The sequence below is a fragment of the Homo sapiens genome, chromosome 2, assembly GCF_000001405.40.
Source record: "Homo sapiens chromosome 2, GRCh38.p14 Primary Assembly".
In the NCBI taxonomy this organism is placed as follows: domain Eukaryota; kingdom Metazoa; phylum Chordata; class Mammalia; order Primates; family Hominidae; genus Homo; species Homo sapiens.
In genome coordinates this window covers 7,463,154-7,481,306 of record NC_000002.12, presented here as the reverse complement: position 1 = coordinate 7,481,306, position 18,153 = coordinate 7,463,154, and the positions used below count along the sequence as shown (strand labels likewise).

Genomic DNA, 18,153 nt, shown 5'->3' with positions numbered 1-18,153 from the left:
TCTTTGAGAATGTTCCATGTGCTGATGCAAAGCATGAATATTCTGTAATTATTGTGTAGAATGTTCTGTAAATGTTCATTAAGCCCATTTGTTCTAAAGTCCAATGTAAATCCAATATTTCTTTGTTAATTCTCTGTTTTGCTGATATGTCTAGTGCTGTGAGTGGGATGTTGAAATATCCCATTATTATTGTATTGCTGTCTATCTCTTTATTTAGGCATACTAACCTTTGTTTGGTGAATCAGGGTGCTCTCATTTGGGTGCATATATATTTAGGTTTGTTATATCCTCTTGCTAAATAATCCCTTTATCATTACATAATAACCTTCTTTATTTTCTTTTTTTCACTGTTTATGATATAAAGTCTGTTTTATCTGATATATAAACAGCTACTCCTGCTCAATTTTGGTTTCTGTATACATGGAATATCTTCTGCCATCCCTCGACTTTCAGTCTATATGTGTCTTTATGGGTAAGGTGATTTTTCTTGTAGGCAACATATTTATATGTAGTTGGATCATGTTAATTTCACAGGTTAAAGGAAAGTCTTAGAAGGGTGCTGAAGTCAGTGTGTCAGAATAATAGGATGGCAGAGAAGAGAGAACAAGAACTGAATTCATCAAATTGTCTGCCTGTGGTTGCATGTGTGCATGAGTGTACATGTGCATGAGTGTGTCTGTGTGGGTGCATGTGTGTGTCATCAGTAAAATCCAGCTGCTCAGGGGCAGCCATAGAGAAGGCAGAGATTTGAATTTCACAGGGGTTTGGATTAGGCCTTTTGCAGGTGCATTATAATGAAATCTTAGGGCATCTGAAGCTGTATCAATCTAAGCTGGAGAAAGAGAGAAGTGAGAATATGAGGATATTTACACTCCTATCTACAATGTATGTGAATTTCTTATGCTCCCATTAGATGCTGTCAATCATTTTTTCCATTTATCAATTTATGGGCAAATAATGGCCTTGAATCTATTGTATAACTTGCTTTTCCCACTTATTGACTTTTGACTTCTTTTTTTCATCAATCAACTTTTCATATCTTCTCAATATTTTTCTAATTATGTTTGTGTCTTTAAAACAAATTTTAAGAACTTACATATTTTAGTGATACTAAAACTTCGTCACATATGTTACACATACTTTCTCTGTAGATTATTCTTTGACTAAGTTTCTGTGATGTTTGATTTATAGAAGTTTGAATGTTTAAATATTAAATTGGTCATTATTTGTTCAGTAGCTTTAAGCTTTCTTATTATACTTAGGAAGACTTCCTCCACAAATGCTTCAAAATAATCTCATATTACTTTGAATAAGCTTGCAGTTTTTGAACATTTTACTTTTTGTAATTTATGTATGCTGTAAAGTAGTGATCAAACTTATTTTTTCTCCAAATGTTTGCTCCATTTTCTCAACATAATTTGGGAGAAACCCAGTTTTTTTCTTACATATTTGCAATACCAAATGCACTATGGATTAAATTTCATGCATTCTTGGATATATTTATCATTCTTATGTTTTGTTCTTCTGGGATAGCCATATTTTGTTATAATGGTAACTTCTTAGAATGTTTTAATATCTGATAAGACAAAACCACCTCAATTATGCAAAGATTTCACATTGTTCTTGGCAATCCTCACACATTTATTCTTTTATATAAACTTTATATTCAATTTGTCCAACTCCCAAATATGCCCCTGTTAAGTGTAAGAAAGAAATATTACTGGGTTTAATTATTTATTTTGGAGAATTGACATTTTAACTTGGAACAGGGCTTGTGATTCTTAATTGGATTCTTAATATTTTTCCATAAAATATAGTTTATTGCACATGGGATTTACATATTTATTTTTGCATTTAATATTATGGACTTTGTATTTATGTCACTATATGGATGAATTCCATTAGTTATTGTTTCATTTCATTCTCTGACAATTGATAGATGTTACTACAAATCTCCTATATCCTGCTGCATATGAAAATTATCTATCAGTTCTAACTATTTTAATTGAAGTTCTTTTATTTTCTAAATATATAGCAATATCTGCAATTAAGGATAATATCTTTATTTTAGATATACCATTAATTTTATTTTTTTAATTATATCACATATCCCCTATCAAAACATTTTAAATAATTGATATCCTTATATTTTTTCTTGATTTTAGTAAAACTTTTTTAAGCAATTATTCTTTTAATATAATATTTGCTCCTGGTTTTTGATAAATGATTTTACCCAGTGCTTACATTTTCCTTGTTTTTATTAGACTTTTCATTAAAAAATAATGTCTACTTTTACTCGTTGTTGCATTGGCTTTTTGTTTGCTATGTTTTCTAGTGGAATAATCTCAGTTTCAGTCTTTATTAATTCTTACGTACTTTCTTTTGGTGTATTTTTCTCTACTTCTTTTACTTCTGGGGTTGGCATGTGCTCATTTTCACACTCTCCTTTAATTCAGATGCTCTAATGTGGGGCGGGAGATGCCAGCCCGGTCTGTAGACACCCCCGCTCCTTCTCACCACAAATCTGAGGAAATCTTTCATCAAGGAAGATTTTCTGTCACAATCTTTCATTTTTCACAAAAAGAAGGAATGCTTTTCTCTGACCTTGGTAGAGCATATTGATCTTTCTTCAGTCAGTAACACAAAATGTCTGCCCTTCTGGTCCTCACAGATGACAGTCATTTGAGTGGCCTGCTGGGAGGTCTTACCACAAAGCCATCTGAGACAATTGGGATCTGAAAGAAATGAGCTAATAATTCTGTTAACTATTCACTGTATTTTCTATGTTTTTTATTATTATTATTATTTTTTTTTTTTTTTTATTTTTTGAGATTGAGTCTAGCTCTGTCACCCAGGCTGGAGTGCAGTTGCACAATCTCAGCTCACTGCAACCTCTGCCTCCTGGGTTCAAGTGACTCTCCTGCCTCAGCCTCCTGAGTAGTTGGGATTACAGGTGCACGCCACTTGCATGCCACTACACCTGGCTAATTTTTGTACTTTTAGTGGAGACAGGGTTTCACCATGTTGGCCAGGCTGGTCTTGAACTCCTGACCTCAAGAGATTGCCCCCCTCAGCCTCCCAAAATGTTGGGATTACAGGCGTGAGCCACTGCACCCGGCCTTAGAGGTTTTTGTTGTTGTTACTTTGTTTTGTTTTTCCCATAAATTTAGTCGAATTTTTAAAAAGCTACATACCTGGGACCAATATCTTTCGCTGTCTCTGCAGCCATCAGCCCCAGCACCAGGATTTTCTTAAAGAATTACTATGAACTGAAACTGTCTACTGGCTTACCCCGGAAGCCAGTGAAATAAAAAACAAGTCCATAAAATTTCTCTGCATTTGTAAAGAATGATTAGTGAAGACTTGTTCTATCATATTCCAAATGTCACATACATAAAGGTTTTATATGATGTATTTTTCTCAGAAGTTTGAGGCTGGAAATGATTTTGCTCTCCTATGAAATGGAATGAATTCTATTATTAAATAGTGAATGCTGTGTCATTTATGCTATGTCATTAACAGCATTCATAGAATGACATAGCATGTGTCATGGTTGGTAGGAAGCTCAATACTCTATTTCTGTATCATCTTTTTCTCTCCTTGCTCTTTTCTTCTTTTTCTTTCTCTTTCTCTTTCTCAGCCTCTATGGATTTTAATCCTACTTGTTCTTTAATTGTAAGCTGCTTTTGTGAAAATAAGGCAGATATAATCAAGTCAGAACATGTATAAATACGGAATAAAAATAAAGAAAAACAACTTCAATATTTATAAGCCAAATGAAAAAGAACGGGTGTGTTTTCTTTTTCTTACTTACCTATAGTAATTTTTTGGGCTTTCAACACTTGGAATCAATCTGAAAAATAAAGCAAAACAAAACAACTACAACAACAACAACAAACCAAGGCCATTCTATAGAAGAATCATTTCCTGGAACTGCACTCAATCTCTCTGTTTATTTGTGAGAGAGTAACAAGTTGATATTAACTCTTTAATGCTGGAATTATATGCCAGAAATAATAGAAGAAGGGCTTTCTATATGTCTATTTCCATACTTGATGTGGACAGTTCAAGACCCAGAAACAAGTAGAATTGTATTTTATTGTAACCTATTTTTAATGATATTCCAGGCTTCTACACATGGCTTTCAAAGTTTGCTGTAACAAAAACTAAGCAGTAACCAGTGGCCTTTAAACATTTCTTTCAAATACTCCTAGACACAGGTGCCAAGCACGGAGAACCTATATGATCACCTCTTACACTTTCTCGAAACCCATGAGTCCTTTTGCCCAGAGGTCGAGTCTAAAATGCAAATTCAGTCCTGAGAGTTTCCTCATCTGGGCTTTCTTCTATCATGGCTCCCTCAGGAAGGGGGGATGAGGGAAGTAGGCCTGCATGACTCCAGAGGCAGGGCACAGTGTCTGTTTCAATGCTGGCTAGCTTTTGGCTCCTTCATTCTGGGCTCTGAGGTAGGTCACAGGTCAGCCTGCCATACCTGGGCTCAGGTGGAGCTCCCGATTGCTTTAAGGGTCCCTTCGTGGGTTGTGCAACTCTGTGCCTTCCTCCAGGGAGACCCAGGCTCTGTGGGGAGATTACACACACATTAGGCTCATCAGTTTGATAAGGGAATACCTAATTCAAACAAATAACCCCCAAGAATGATCACACATGTTTATAATTGTCCTGAGCTTTGCAGGGTTCCCAGGGCAATACTGTATCCACTCCTTTCACTTTCCTCTGCAAAAGAAAACATGATGTAAGGGGATAATGTTGTTTAACTCTCTTCTGGTGCATTTTTTTAATTCTTATAGATATTTCTAGCCCTGAGTTTCACCACTCATGGAATAAATGGCATTCACTAATTTAGGAGAGGAGCAGAGATAACCTAATACAAAAGATTCATTGAAAGGTAGGCTTTGTTCCAAAAAATGGGGTAAAAGAGTGTTTCTAAACTCCAAAAATTTTTCTTCACATGTCAAGGACAGTGCTATGAAATGCAAGTTAAGAAAAGCTTTCCCATAAAAAGAGAAAGAAAAGTGTGTGCAATAGGTGAGAATTCTTAGATGTAGAATAGGCAGGACTCCATAAGAATGGAGAAGATTCCCCAACTGAAGCAAGAAGGGTTGTGATTCAACATTATGTTTGCTGTGCAGATGAAACACATAGAACACTAGAAGCAACCTCACCTGCTGGGTGAAGGAGGCCTGCATCCTCCAGGCACAAATGGAAGAAGTAAAAGTAGAAACACTATAAAGAAACTATAGCCTACTTTAATCCATACGTCTCTTTCTGTGGTTTGGAGCCATTTTGCTTCCCGTTCATCTGTCTTGCCCCAAAGCTGGAGAAAGGGAGCCCTATTGAAGCTGTGTAGTAGTTATCATTTGTGCAATGCTCTGAAATGCTGAAACGCCCTACACACCATCCAGCCTCTGTTATTCTGTTTTCCCTTGCCCTGTGAGATGCAGCTAAGCAGGATACCTCAACCTTCCCATGACTTCTTCCAGACCTGTTTTTGTTAGTTTTTTAAAAAAATTATGCCATAGAGTAAAAATTCAAAATGATGAAAATTCTTAGGAGTAATATTAGTTTTCAAGGCTGCTGTAAAAAAGTACCTCCAACAGCTGGCTTAAAAACAACACATATTTATTGCCTCACAGTTCTGCAGACCGGAAGTCTGAAATCAAGGTGTTGGCAGGGTTGGTTCCCTCTGAAGGCAGTGAGGAAGAATCTGTCCCAAGCCTCTTCCGAGCTCCTGGTGGTTTCCTGGCAATCCTTAGTGTTCCTTGGCTTGTAGAAGCCTCAACCTGATCTCAGCCTTCGTTTTCACATGCCATCCTCCCTCTGTGTGTGTGTGCGTGCGTGCGTGCACGTGTGCGTGTCTTGTGCAGAGTTTTTCTTTTCTTTTTTCCTAAGGACACCGATTATATTGGACTAGGGGCCCACCCTACTCCAGTATGACCTCATCTTAACTAATTACATCTGCAATGATCCTGTTCTGGTCGCAATCAGAGGCTATGAGGCTTAGGACTTCAGCTTATGCATTTGGAGGGGATGCAATTCAACCCATAACAGTTGTTTCATCTATTTTCAACTTTAATGTAGAAGAGTAAAAGAAAATAGAAGTAAAAGAAATTTTGCGGGTCCTGATTTTACAGAAACATTGGAAAGTCTCCACAACTTACAAATTTTTTTTTTGGCTTCTAGCCTATCTGTAAGAATGAATTCACCCTTCTCCTCTTCTTCTGACATCCTGTGGCTCATTAATGTCAGGCTTGCTTAGGGCTTCTACAAGCAGACCCCTGCTCCGTCCTGTGCATAACGCTACCCCAAACGTGTTCCACCGAAAGGTCTCTGTTTTTCACATTTTATATACTTGTTTCTCTTGCATTAATTCTTGAAGTTTCGTTTTTCCCATGCAAATATGAAAACACATTTTAAAAAAAGAGGTATTCTCTCCCTCTCAGCAGCAGAAGTTTGAAAACGAAGATTTATTTTGCATCTTTGACAGACGGATCTATTGAAATTTATCATTTTTAAAAAGACATATACCCTCTTTTTTGCAGTAGGAGCCAATAAACAAAGTAGTGGGCCCCTAATTTACATAAAAATTAATAAGAAACTTTATCTGAAACACAGATTGCTTTATTGCCTGACTTAACATGTCACAAAAGTCGGAGTAGAAGCATTGAGCACTGAAAATTCAAGAACCTTATGAAAAGTTGTGGTCTCCAAATTAAGGCTTCCAGAAGAAATATTAAAAGTCTGCTCACTTCCGTAGTAGTTTTATTCTCAGATATATATTTTTAAATAAATCTCAGAAGGCAAGTCCAATTTATCTTCAAAGCATTTCTTGTGTGCCCATTTGAGGAACATCAAATATTTATTACATGCTCCCCTGCAGATGGCAAAATCTATACAAAATAAATAAATATTTTCTGCTTTACGAAGTGTAAATTTTATGTGTGTTAAAACTTGTATAGATAACCTCCAAATCAAGGATGTGAGATCCAAATGTGCTCAAAAGGAGCAAACAACCACTCTTATTGTGACCCAAGTAAACTTCAAGGAATACCTGGATGGTGTTAAAAACAAAAACAAAACTCAAGCAATAATGAAGTCTGAACACAGTGGAGGGAAGGAATTGGGAGACCAGGAGATACGATGTATGATTCTACTTTCGTGGCTTCCAGTGGTCCTAGCACTTTTCTTTTCTGAGCCTCTTCAAAATGAAAACAATAGAGAGCTGACCATATTTCAGGTCATCCTAAGTTTACAGCTAGTTGTATGGTGAGGCTGGCTCTAGTTTTTAACTTATTTGTATCTTTTAAATTAAATAACACACCATTTAAAAAATACTTTTTCTACATAGAACCAAAATTTTGCTAAGAATTAGATTCAGTGGTTTTCTTGAAGCTTTGCTGATTCACTTTTAAGGATATTTCTTATACGTAAGACACTAGAGCTTAAGAGGAAATACATTTACAAAATGAATTTTTAGCTTTATCTGGCTCCTAAATATGTGAATAGCAGTTTTAGATTTCTAATGAATGCCATGCCCAGTCGGATTTGTCTAGGGGCAAAATCCCTTAAGATGCCCCTTGCTGTAAACCTCTCAAAAAGAAAATCTCATCACCAGTCAAAAGTAATGGGTCCAAGGGGTGTTGTGATTCCCCTAAATTCTCAGGTCAGCAGCATTCTCATTTCTGACTTTTTCACTTCGGTCAGCTGGAATCACACTCTACGGTAAAGAGGCTGGCATTTCTTTTATCTCAGTCTTACAAAATAGGTAGCTTTGGAAACTACTTCTCCACTTGAGTATCGCAAAAGCCTCCCTAATTGATAAATCTTCCAAGTTCATCTCCAAACAGATAGCACATTGCTTGCATCAGCAGTTTGCTTGGCATTTGAACTCCTCATTACTGACTCAAAAAAATAGGAGGATCAGGAAAAGGGAAAACAGATTCCAAAATGCAGAACCTGATAAAACACCACTGGGGGAAATTAAAGTAGAAGTGAGAGAACAATAGCTCTTTTGTCCTTCATCACCTCCTCATAACGTGAAAAGGAAAATGCAAGTGTTTATATGAGAAATGATCCCCCGGGGTAACCCCCTTGACGAAGCCTGTGATATTGAAAAAGGAAAGTCAGTTCCAATCAGCCTCCCTGAGATATTTCCATTTTTCCCCACTGAAGGTAACAGTCTTCATTTTTCAGTCTGCAAATAGTAAGTTCTAAATACATGCTGGATGAAAGGAAGTGCAAATGAAAAATGTATACAGAAATTAATAGTTTGAAATGATCTCAGGTAGATTTTGAGTAATTTTGCAAAAGCATATGAAAAAATAGGTGTAAAAATTCTCTTTAAATAAAATACATGTAAAAGAAATTAAAACACTAGGGACTATAAGGGAAGCTGAACCATTCTGCGGATTACATTTGTCTTTTAATCCACTTTGTCCTCTACATGAAATGTGGCATAAAGACATCTGCCGATATTTTAAAGGCTTCTGCTGGTGCCTGAATTATATTTTTAAATGAGACCCTAAAGCTGCATTCTAATGCATTACTTTCATTTAGTAAAGTGTGCATCCAGCCTCATTCTACTCCCTCGGCATCCTTTATTTAATCAGTCTGAGAGCAGCATAGAACATCTCCATCTCCACATGTGTCTCTGCCAGATACTGCTGACTTTTACATTTAACCTTTCTGGCAATACATGACCTACTTGAAGGAAAGGAAATAGATACACAACTGAGCAGGAGATGGAGGAGGGGGAGAAAAATTCCTTTAGATAATCAGTGAGACATATGCAAATCTGACTCTTTGCACCTGATGTGATGGATGTCATTGGAGATGCCATAATAAACAACTTTAGAATTCCTTTGTAAGAGTTAGCACTGTGATTTCTATATTTGATACACAATTTAGGTTGGCTAAGAAAGTCGATCTGCTATTTGCTTTTTGTTTGTTTGTTTTTGGTTGTTTGTTTGTTTCTTTTGAGACAGAGTCTCGCTCTGTCACCCAGACTGGAGTGCAGTGGCGCGATCTCGGCTCACTGCAAGCTCCACCTCCCGGGTTCATGCCATTCTCCTGCCTCAGCCTCCTGAGTGGCTGGGACTACAGGCGCCCGCCACCATGCCCGGCTAATTTTTTGTATTTTTAGTAGAGATGGGGTTTCACTGTGTTAGCCAGGATGGTCTCGATCTCCTGACCTTGTGATCTGCCCGCCTCAGCCTCCCAAAGTGCTGGGATTACAGGAGTGAGCCACTGCACCGGGCCATTTGTTATTTTTAGGAAATAAAAATAATATTGCATGTACTGTGATGGCAGTGGTTGTGATGACCATAGTGGATTCCTTTGGAACCTGCATTAACCAAAAGATATAGTTGGTTCAGAGTGCGAAAAATCATGGAGCAGGTGGATTTGAACTCAGGAGGACTCTGCTACTATCACAAGATTTTAACTGCTCATCTGGTGACATGGTACAGTGGGGAGTGCATAGGCAGTGGGACCAGGAAGGATTGGATTCCAGTCCAATTGTGCAGCTAGTTATTAAATGTGGGGCCTTAGAAATGGATGGAGGCTTACTGAGTCTCAGCTCTTCCCCCAACTGTACCATCTATATAGTAGAGATCTCAGCTCCATCATAGACTTTTGTAAGAATTAAGCGAAACTGTGATTCAAAAGCACCTGACAGGGTAAGTAGGTATCAGAGAAATGTTAGATCTTGACCTAGTCAGGCTAATTTAGTGTATGCAAAAGTAACAAATGACCTCATTTTTCTGTAATAAGCAGCAGATGAGTTTATTTCTTCCTCATGCTCTTTGTGCTAAAAGGGTTGGCAGGGGGTGCTGAGGGAGATGAAGACAAGCCTCCTCTGTCTGGTAAATGCATTTGTCCTTGTAGCAGAGAAAAGTGAGCAAATTGCGTAAGAGTTTTCTACCACCTCAGACCAGAAATGATGCACATTAGTTTTGCTCACATTTTATAGGAAAGCTGTAGTGACTTGGCCCTGCCTAACATTCAGGAGCTCAGGATGTGTCGGGGAAGAAGATGGAATATTTGGTGAGCATCCTCTCTCAGATACAGTTCTCTGTCTCCCCCCCCACTAAACACACTTTTTCAGGCACTTCAACAATATTTTAAAGATCACCTAAAAACCAAAACAAAGTATGGTTACTAAACAATGCACAGCATTTGTCATAGTTTGGGTGTTATTGGCACATGTCTTCCTAGCAATCTATCAACAAATAACAAATTTGACTAAACTGTCACCATCATTTCAGCCAAAAATAAAGAAATATTATCTCCTCCTCACCTATAAAACAACTTAATTTTTACGATTTTGGCAATTCAATGGATAACAAAAATCTAATTTTCATTAGTTTTTATTTTATTTTATTTATTTATTTTTAAGATGGAGTCTCACTCTATGGCCCAGGCTGGAGTGCAGTGGTGCGATCTTGGCTCACTGCAACCTCCGCCTCCTGGGTTCAAGCGATTCTTCTGCCTCAGCCTCCCAAGTAGCTGAGACTACAGGTGCACGCCACCACACCCAGCTAATTTTTTTTTGTATTTGTAGTAGAGACGGGGTTTCACCATGTTGGCCAGGCTGGTCTCCAACTATTGACCTCATGATCCACCCGCCTTAGCCTCCCAAAGTGCTGGGATTACAGGTGTGAGCCACTACGCCTGGCCAGATGTTTTTAAAAATAAGAAAAATGTCCTCATAAGGCATTCATCAATTTTTGGTATTCCAGGGGGAACAGGGACCCTATGTTGCACAGCATAAAAGTAATCATGTGGTGACCCAGCCACCTCCTGCAGGTGACTTCCTTCTCTCAGATGGACTTCACCTCCATAACTGTAAAATAAGTTGCACTGCCAATTCTCTGGGACCTTTCAGCCCCTGATATCTACCTATTCTATCATTGTTGTTGTTGTTTTTTTAATAACAAGTTCTGTGTGGAATGTATAATGCCAATGAAATGTCCTCTGCTTTCCACCAAAGGCATTCTATCCCGTGAGCACCCAGGAGACAGAGCCCCTGCTTCCTGCCAGAGAAACCATCTCTCTTGATATCCACAGTGGGTCAAGTGAGAAGCATCGAGATGAAATCACATCCGCAGATTTCCTCAAGAAGAGTGCTCAGTGCTGCTGACTATACAGGCGTTATGCTTTACCTTTCATATGTTTGAATGTTTCAAGTCAGGTTTTGGCTTCTCCCTAGGATGCCCTTCTCCACTTCAAATAAAAATCCATGTTTAAATCATTGAATTTGCCCCAGGAAATTGGAGCATGCATATTGTCAGCCAAGATTTGACTGTTTTTCAGGCCTCCTATTGACACAAGAGACATGGAGGTAAATAAGATGAATCTCTTCCTTAATGACCACATTACCTACTCTGAGAAAGACAAATTGGTAAATAAATAAACAATTAGAATATAGCATGATAAATATAAAGGTGGGGGGAAGAGTGATACATGTTCTTTGAAAACAGGAAATTCATAGCATGCTGGAGCACAGGGGCTGCAGTTTATGAACGTTCTGAATGAGGAAATTGATTCACACAGTCTGATTCCCTCACACCCAATCATGTCACTGACACTTGGCCATTTTTCAGGATGTGAAAAGGAATCTCTCAGTGATGAAGCGCATTCCCCTTAGAATCACTCTAGAGCAGATACGTGGAATCTTTATAGCAAAATATACATCGCCAGTGCTAATTTTCCCACAAATAATTGAGATTCTCAGGGGAATGTCCTGAATTTCAAGCTCTCTTCTTTTCTTCCTTTGCCAGTTTATGTAATTTCTTCCTTATCCCACACCTGATAAGATTTCTTTCTTTATTCCATTACTCTTGCTTCCCCCGCCTGTTCCCATAGTCCCTCCCTGTTCTAGACGAATTTCGTCTTAAAGGGTCCCTTATAGCACCTTGCATTCTAAGTATCAATAGGTTGGGCTCTGTCCTGATATCTCAAAGAATCAGGATTGAAAGTTTGAAGTCTTTTCTCTGCTAGGATTGAGCTTTCTAAAACACAAATTCAGTTATTAGGGGCAGGGACTATTGCACCAGACATAATATGTATCCCTGGAATGTAGATCCAGGTGCCAGAAAATTGCAGGCCAGTAGGAAAATGGTGTAATCTGTGATTCCATCTGGCCCATGAATTTCCAGTGGCCTTGCTTATAGATTGTCAGAACTGTTCATTAAGTTTGTTGTGAAACCAAAGGCTTAATATCTGTAATTTACAGGGTTCAATAGGCAGTTAAATTGAGTGAAACTATTTTTGAATGACTACTCCAGTTTCAGAGAAATAGCCGACATTGCAGCTCAGAAGAGCTGCATTTCCAGGCAGCACCAGGGACTCAAAATTATTTATAGGCCCTTTAGAAAAGGGTTTTGCTATACTAAGTTGAGAAACTTTTTCTCCTCTTAAGAAAAAAAAAATTAACAAAAGCTACAGTGCTGACAAAAGGATACATTTTTAACCCAAGTAAGTTATCAACTACAACCACGTAACTTTAAATGGTTCAAACAGAGCAAAGGTTGATTGTATTTTCTGATTTTGTCTTTCTCACTCTCATCTGTGGTTATCTTAAAATGCATTCACTACAGTGAAAATTTGTTTGCATGTAATGGTAGGTAGTGAAGGGGGACTGTTTAGTGTTGAATGGGTGGTAAAAAACGGAATTCCTTATAAGGCAGTCCTTTTATACTAGTAATGTATAAGTAATTTCTTACACAGTATATCCATAATGAGGATATTAGCCACTTCTGAAATAAAAGAGAAGGTTCCTGAATTAAAGGATAAATGCTTGAGGTGATGGATACCCCATTTACGCTGATGTGATTATCACACATTGTATGCCTGTATCAAGATATTCCATGTACCCCAAAAATAGATATGCCTACTGTGTATACACAAAAATTAAAAACACTATTTTTTTTAAATGTGGCAACAAACCACAGATGGAAATTATGACTTTTATCCTGGTGGTTAACATGAAAAGGCAATGCAGACGTCAGGATGATGACCAAGAACAAGCGGAAGTCAACAAGAACCAAGGGCCCTGTCAGAAGGAGGCATGCAGAACAGAAGCCCTCATGGGCCCTGGGGTTACTCAGCTGAGTCTCAAACTGTTTCAGAATGGCTCCTCCTCTTGAAGCATTTTTACCTTTGCTCCAGGGCCCTGTGAACTTAACTTTTTAAGGACTAAGTAAATTATCTGCTCATAAGAAGAGAGCTCTAACCTAGTGTGGCAAACATTACTAATTCCCTACCCCAAATCTATTCTCCCCTTCTTCACAGACTCAGCACTGATGTTTCTCAGGGTGGCAATGTGCTGGGATAGGAGAGTAAAAGCAGAACATTTGTCACCCTTTCTTTACAGCTTGGGCCACACAATGGCCGAGGAGATGCAAATGTAAGTCAGCTGGGAATTTCTGGGAAAGTTTGCTTTTCTGCAAAAGACGGCTACCTCTTTTTTGGGTAACTTTTATATTCTTTCTTCCTGGAATGAGGGCTGAGGTTGGAGACAGAGCATGGCTTTTCTGATCAAGAAGCAATCAGACAGGCAAAACCAGATATTTAGGATGATAAAGCACAAAGCTAGAAAAAACCTAGGGCATTAATGAGAGTGTGGACTTTCTCCGTGGCTCACGCCTGTAATACCAGCACTTTGGGAGGCCGAGGGGGGCGGATCACGAGGTCAGGAGATCTAGACCATCTTGGCTAACACGATGAAACCCTGTCTCTACTAAAAATACAAAAAATTAGCTGGGCATGGTGGCGGGCGCCTGTAGTCCCAGCTACTTGGGAGGCTGAGGCAGGAGAATGACGTGAACTTGGGAGGCAGAGCTTGCAGTGAGCCGAGATCATGCCACTGCACTCCAGCCTGGGTGGCAGAGCAAGACTCCATTTCAAAAAAAAAAAAAAAAAATGTAAAGCCAACACGATAAATCTTGTCTCAGAGGTCCTCAGTTACATTTCAAATTCAAATACCTTCTTAACAATTTTAAGAATATGCAGCTCTTGTGGGACATTTCCACACATAATGTAAGTAAATAATCGAATGAAGAAATGGAAAACAAAACGAGAAACTCCACCAAAACTACTCAATATGTCAAAGTGCAAGAAATCATTTTTACAAGTGATGAGACATAAATTAACATCTAAAATATAATTATAAAATAATATTATGATTTTCTTTATTTTGATTCATTAGATTTCGATCAGACGTTACTGTTTGGTAAATAATAGTAGAAATAATGAAGTGAATGAAAACTCTGTCTTACAGTGACTACTTCTTTGTAATTGTATAAAAAATAAACTTTGGGATATCTTTATGTTTACCAAGTACCTATACAATTTTCTTTTTGCATTATTTTCACTAATGCCTACAGTTTTAGAAATAATTTTCAGTAATTATCTGATCATTTCTCTTTTTTTTGGTCCATCGCCTCCTAATTTGGTTTTCTTTAATTCCTCACCATCATTCAAATGGCAAAAAAAAAAAAAAAAAAAAAAACGAGTAATTAAAGAAGCTTTTTCTGAGCAACATACTCTCCCAGCATTTCCTCAAAGGTTTTACAAGATAATCTGGGTACCAGGACACATACAAACAAACAAACAAAAACACCTGCAATACATCATGGGACTTGCTAGAATATGCTAATAATGACTTCAGGTTTTGGAAGAGTGAAAGCTTTCTGTGGTTGAGCAAGACTTTTGAGTGAAGGGGTATTCAAACAAGGCTTGTAGTGTGTTAAAAGTAGTCGAAGAGACGAGAGCATTTTCTAGGCAGAGGAAAGCAGTGTCAGGAAAGAGAGGGCACATGTTAGATGTGAGTGGATATCCATAAACCACTGATTTGGTTGGAGTGCAGGGTGAGTAATGAGGAGGAGTAGAGGAGAGTAGGAAAGCTATATTGGACACAGATTAGGATGGACCATGGATAGTAAATTTAGGGGAACAGACTTTGTATGAGCCATGTTTTGAATGTCCTGTATATAGTGAGACTCTGATAAATCACTTAGCTTTCTTACAATAAACACCTAATTTTCACCGCCAATACCAATATTTTATTTTTATCTAAAATGAACACAATCTTATTGTTATCCCTATTCTACAGACATTTGGGGGTAAATGTGAACCACTTGAGGAACCTGAAATCTCACCCCCATCAGCAATGAGACATCCTTCCCCTCTCCCTAGAGTAGACTCATCCGAGCCTAGTGAAGAGTCCGGACTTTCCCCGTCACCCAGAATTAAACAGGCCACTCCACACATACTGTGTTGGTAGAGGCTGCATAAGGAGGAGCAATAATGTGCCTCTCATCCTTCCAGCCAGGGTGGTATCAGCAGAGGCCAAGTGGAGAGAATAAGCCTCCATCCTCACCCAACAGCAACATTGAGTGTCAACTTCACCTCACTGTAATGAGAGAGATCCCCTTTCACCAGCCAGAGTACTATAAGAGGAGGCCCACCGACAGACAAGATTTAAATAAAATCCTAAGTCTCAAACCATAATTCCCCGAATGTCCACATGTCAATAAAATATTATTTATCATACTAAGAACCAAGAAGATCTCAGATTGAATGAAAAAAGACAATTATTAGACAGCAAAACCATGATGACACAGATATTAGAATAATCTGATCAGGATTTTAAAACAGCCATTATAAAAATGTTTCAATGATCAAACACAAACACAATTAAATAAAAATATAGAAAGTTATCAAATAAATGGAAGATAGGAACTAAATTGAAATTATAGAATTAAAAGAAAATGCTTTAGCATTAGCCAAAAACGAAGAGAAAAACAAAACTCACTGTACAGGCTCATCAGCACCCTAGGGAAGAAAGCATCAGTGAATTTGAATGTAGTACAACACAAATTACCCAACCCAACAACAGAAAAACACAGTAGAGAGAGAGCACCTCAGAGATACGTGTGATTATAACAGAAGATCAAATATTCATGGAGCAGGTAGAGTAGTCAAAGAAATAATGACTGAAAGCTTTCCAAATTTACAAATAAACATAAATGTATAAATTCAAGAAGATGAGCAATAACAAACAAGATAAACACAAAGAAATCCACACCCAAACACATCATCAAAATTAACCTTTGAAAACTAAAGTAAAAAATTAAATAAATAAGAAAGAGAAAACACTGAAACTTCTAGTGAGAAATGGCACATTACCTACACGGTAGAAACAACTCGGTACATTTTCTTTTCTTTTTTTTTTTTCAGGCGGAGTCTCGCTCTGTCGCCCAGGCTGGAGTGCAGTGGCGCGATCTCGGCTCACTGCCAGCTCCGCCTCCCGGGTTCGCGCCATTCTCCTGCCTCAGCCTCCTGAGTATCTGGGACTACAGGCGCCCGCCACCAAGCCCGGCTAATTTTTTGTATTTTTAGTAAAGACAAGGTTTCACTTTGTTAGCCAGGATGGTCTCAATCTCCTGACCTCATGATCTGCCTGTCTCGGCCTCCCAAAGCTGGGATTACAGGCGTGAGCCACCACGCCCGGCCCTTGGTAAATTTCTATCAGAAACTATGGAGACCAAAAGGAAATGGTACTACTGTGTACCCACAAGAGTTAAAAAAATTTTTAAAAAAGGTATGAAGGAAATGGCATGCAATTTCCCAAGTACTGAAAAACTGTTAAACTGTAATTCTATATTAATTGAAAATATCCTTCAGGAATTCAGGAAAATCAAAACATTCTCAAAGAATAAGAAAATTTATCACCAGTGCACCTACTCTAAATAATAGTTAAAAGAAGTTCTCTAAAGAAAAAGAATATATTAAGAGAAAGAATCTTGGAACATCAAAAAGAAAACTAAAACATGGGTAAAGTGTAATAGAATTCCTTTCTCTTCTGGAATTTTCTAAATTATGTATGACAATTGAACAATCTATGTAGAGAAAATATTTAAGATCCTTATTATAAACGAGGGAGGGTAAATGGAGGTTAAAGGGGATAAGAGTATTATACTTCGCTCAGACTAGTAAAATTTTATATATATGGTTATAATTACAGTGACTATTAAAAGCACTTTAAATAGAGATACAGTTACTATCACTACCGATAAATTGAAATTTAAAATATATTCAAGAAACCTACTGGAAGGTAGAAAAACAAAAATGAAGAAATGAAAAAACAAAACAAATTGATCATTTCATTAACTGTAAATGGTCTGAAAACAAAAGACAGAGAATGGCAAAGTAGATTTTTATAGCCAAACAAAAGATGATCTAACTATATAATTTCTACAAGAAAGTCACTTCAATATAATAATAAAGATAAGTTGAATAAAAAAGTTTAAAATAAGATATACCAGGGAAACATTAATCAAAAGAGTGCAGAGGTGGTTATATCAATATCAAATAAAATAAACATCAAAACAAATTACCATATATAAAGAGGAACAGTTCATAATCACGAAAGGGCCAATCCACCAAGAAGAAAAAAAACCTTAACGTGCATGTGCCATACAAAAACACTGTAAAATAATTTGCAGCAAACAGTAACAGAATTGAAAATAGAAATAGATGAATCCACAACGAAAGAATTCAACAACCCTCACTCAATAATCAATAGAACAACTAGACAGAAAATCAGCAAGGATATAAAACCCAACAACATCACCAACAATTAGTATCTAATTGATATTTATAGAACATTCCATGCAACTACTACTGCAGACTACACATTCATTCCAAGTACCCGTAGAGCATAAACAAAGATAGACCAAATTCTGGACCACAAAACAAACCACAATAAATTTTTAAAACTCAAAATTACTCAGAGCGTGTTGTCCGACTATAGTGGGATCAAACAAGAAGTCAATAACAGAAATCCAGCAGGATAATTTCCCAAACCTGAGAAATTAAATAATTGACTTCTAAATAATCCCTATGCAGAAAAGAGAAGTCTCAAGGAAAATAAAATAATACAAAGAGCTGAATTAAAATAAAAATAGAAGATACCAAAATTTCTGACATGCAGCTAAAAAAGTAATAAGAGAAAAAATGGTGATCCTAAGGCTTGCATTAAAGAAGAGAACATTTAAAATCAGTAATCTAAGCTCCCAAATCAGGAAACCAAGGCCAAAAGAACCAAACCGAAAAGAAAATCAAGGCAAA

The 18,153-nt window shown here is 37.5% G+C and overlaps 1 long non-coding RNA gene across 1 annotated transcript; it reads right to left on the bottom strand.

The window, feature by feature from the left end:
* Nucleotides 1–2,655: 2,655 nt before the first annotated feature.
* On the bottom strand, nucleotides 2,656–4,559 carry LOC105373407 (uncharacterized). The gene is made up of 3 exons (XR_922748.1): nucleotides 4,493–4,559; nucleotides 3,815–3,853; nucleotides 2,656–2,735 (listed from the first exon to the last, which is right to left on the bottom strand). It is a non-coding gene; the product is annotated as an uncharacterized LOC105373407 (long non-coding RNA).
* Between the last annotated feature and the right edge of the window lie 13,594 nt (nucleotides 4,560–18,153).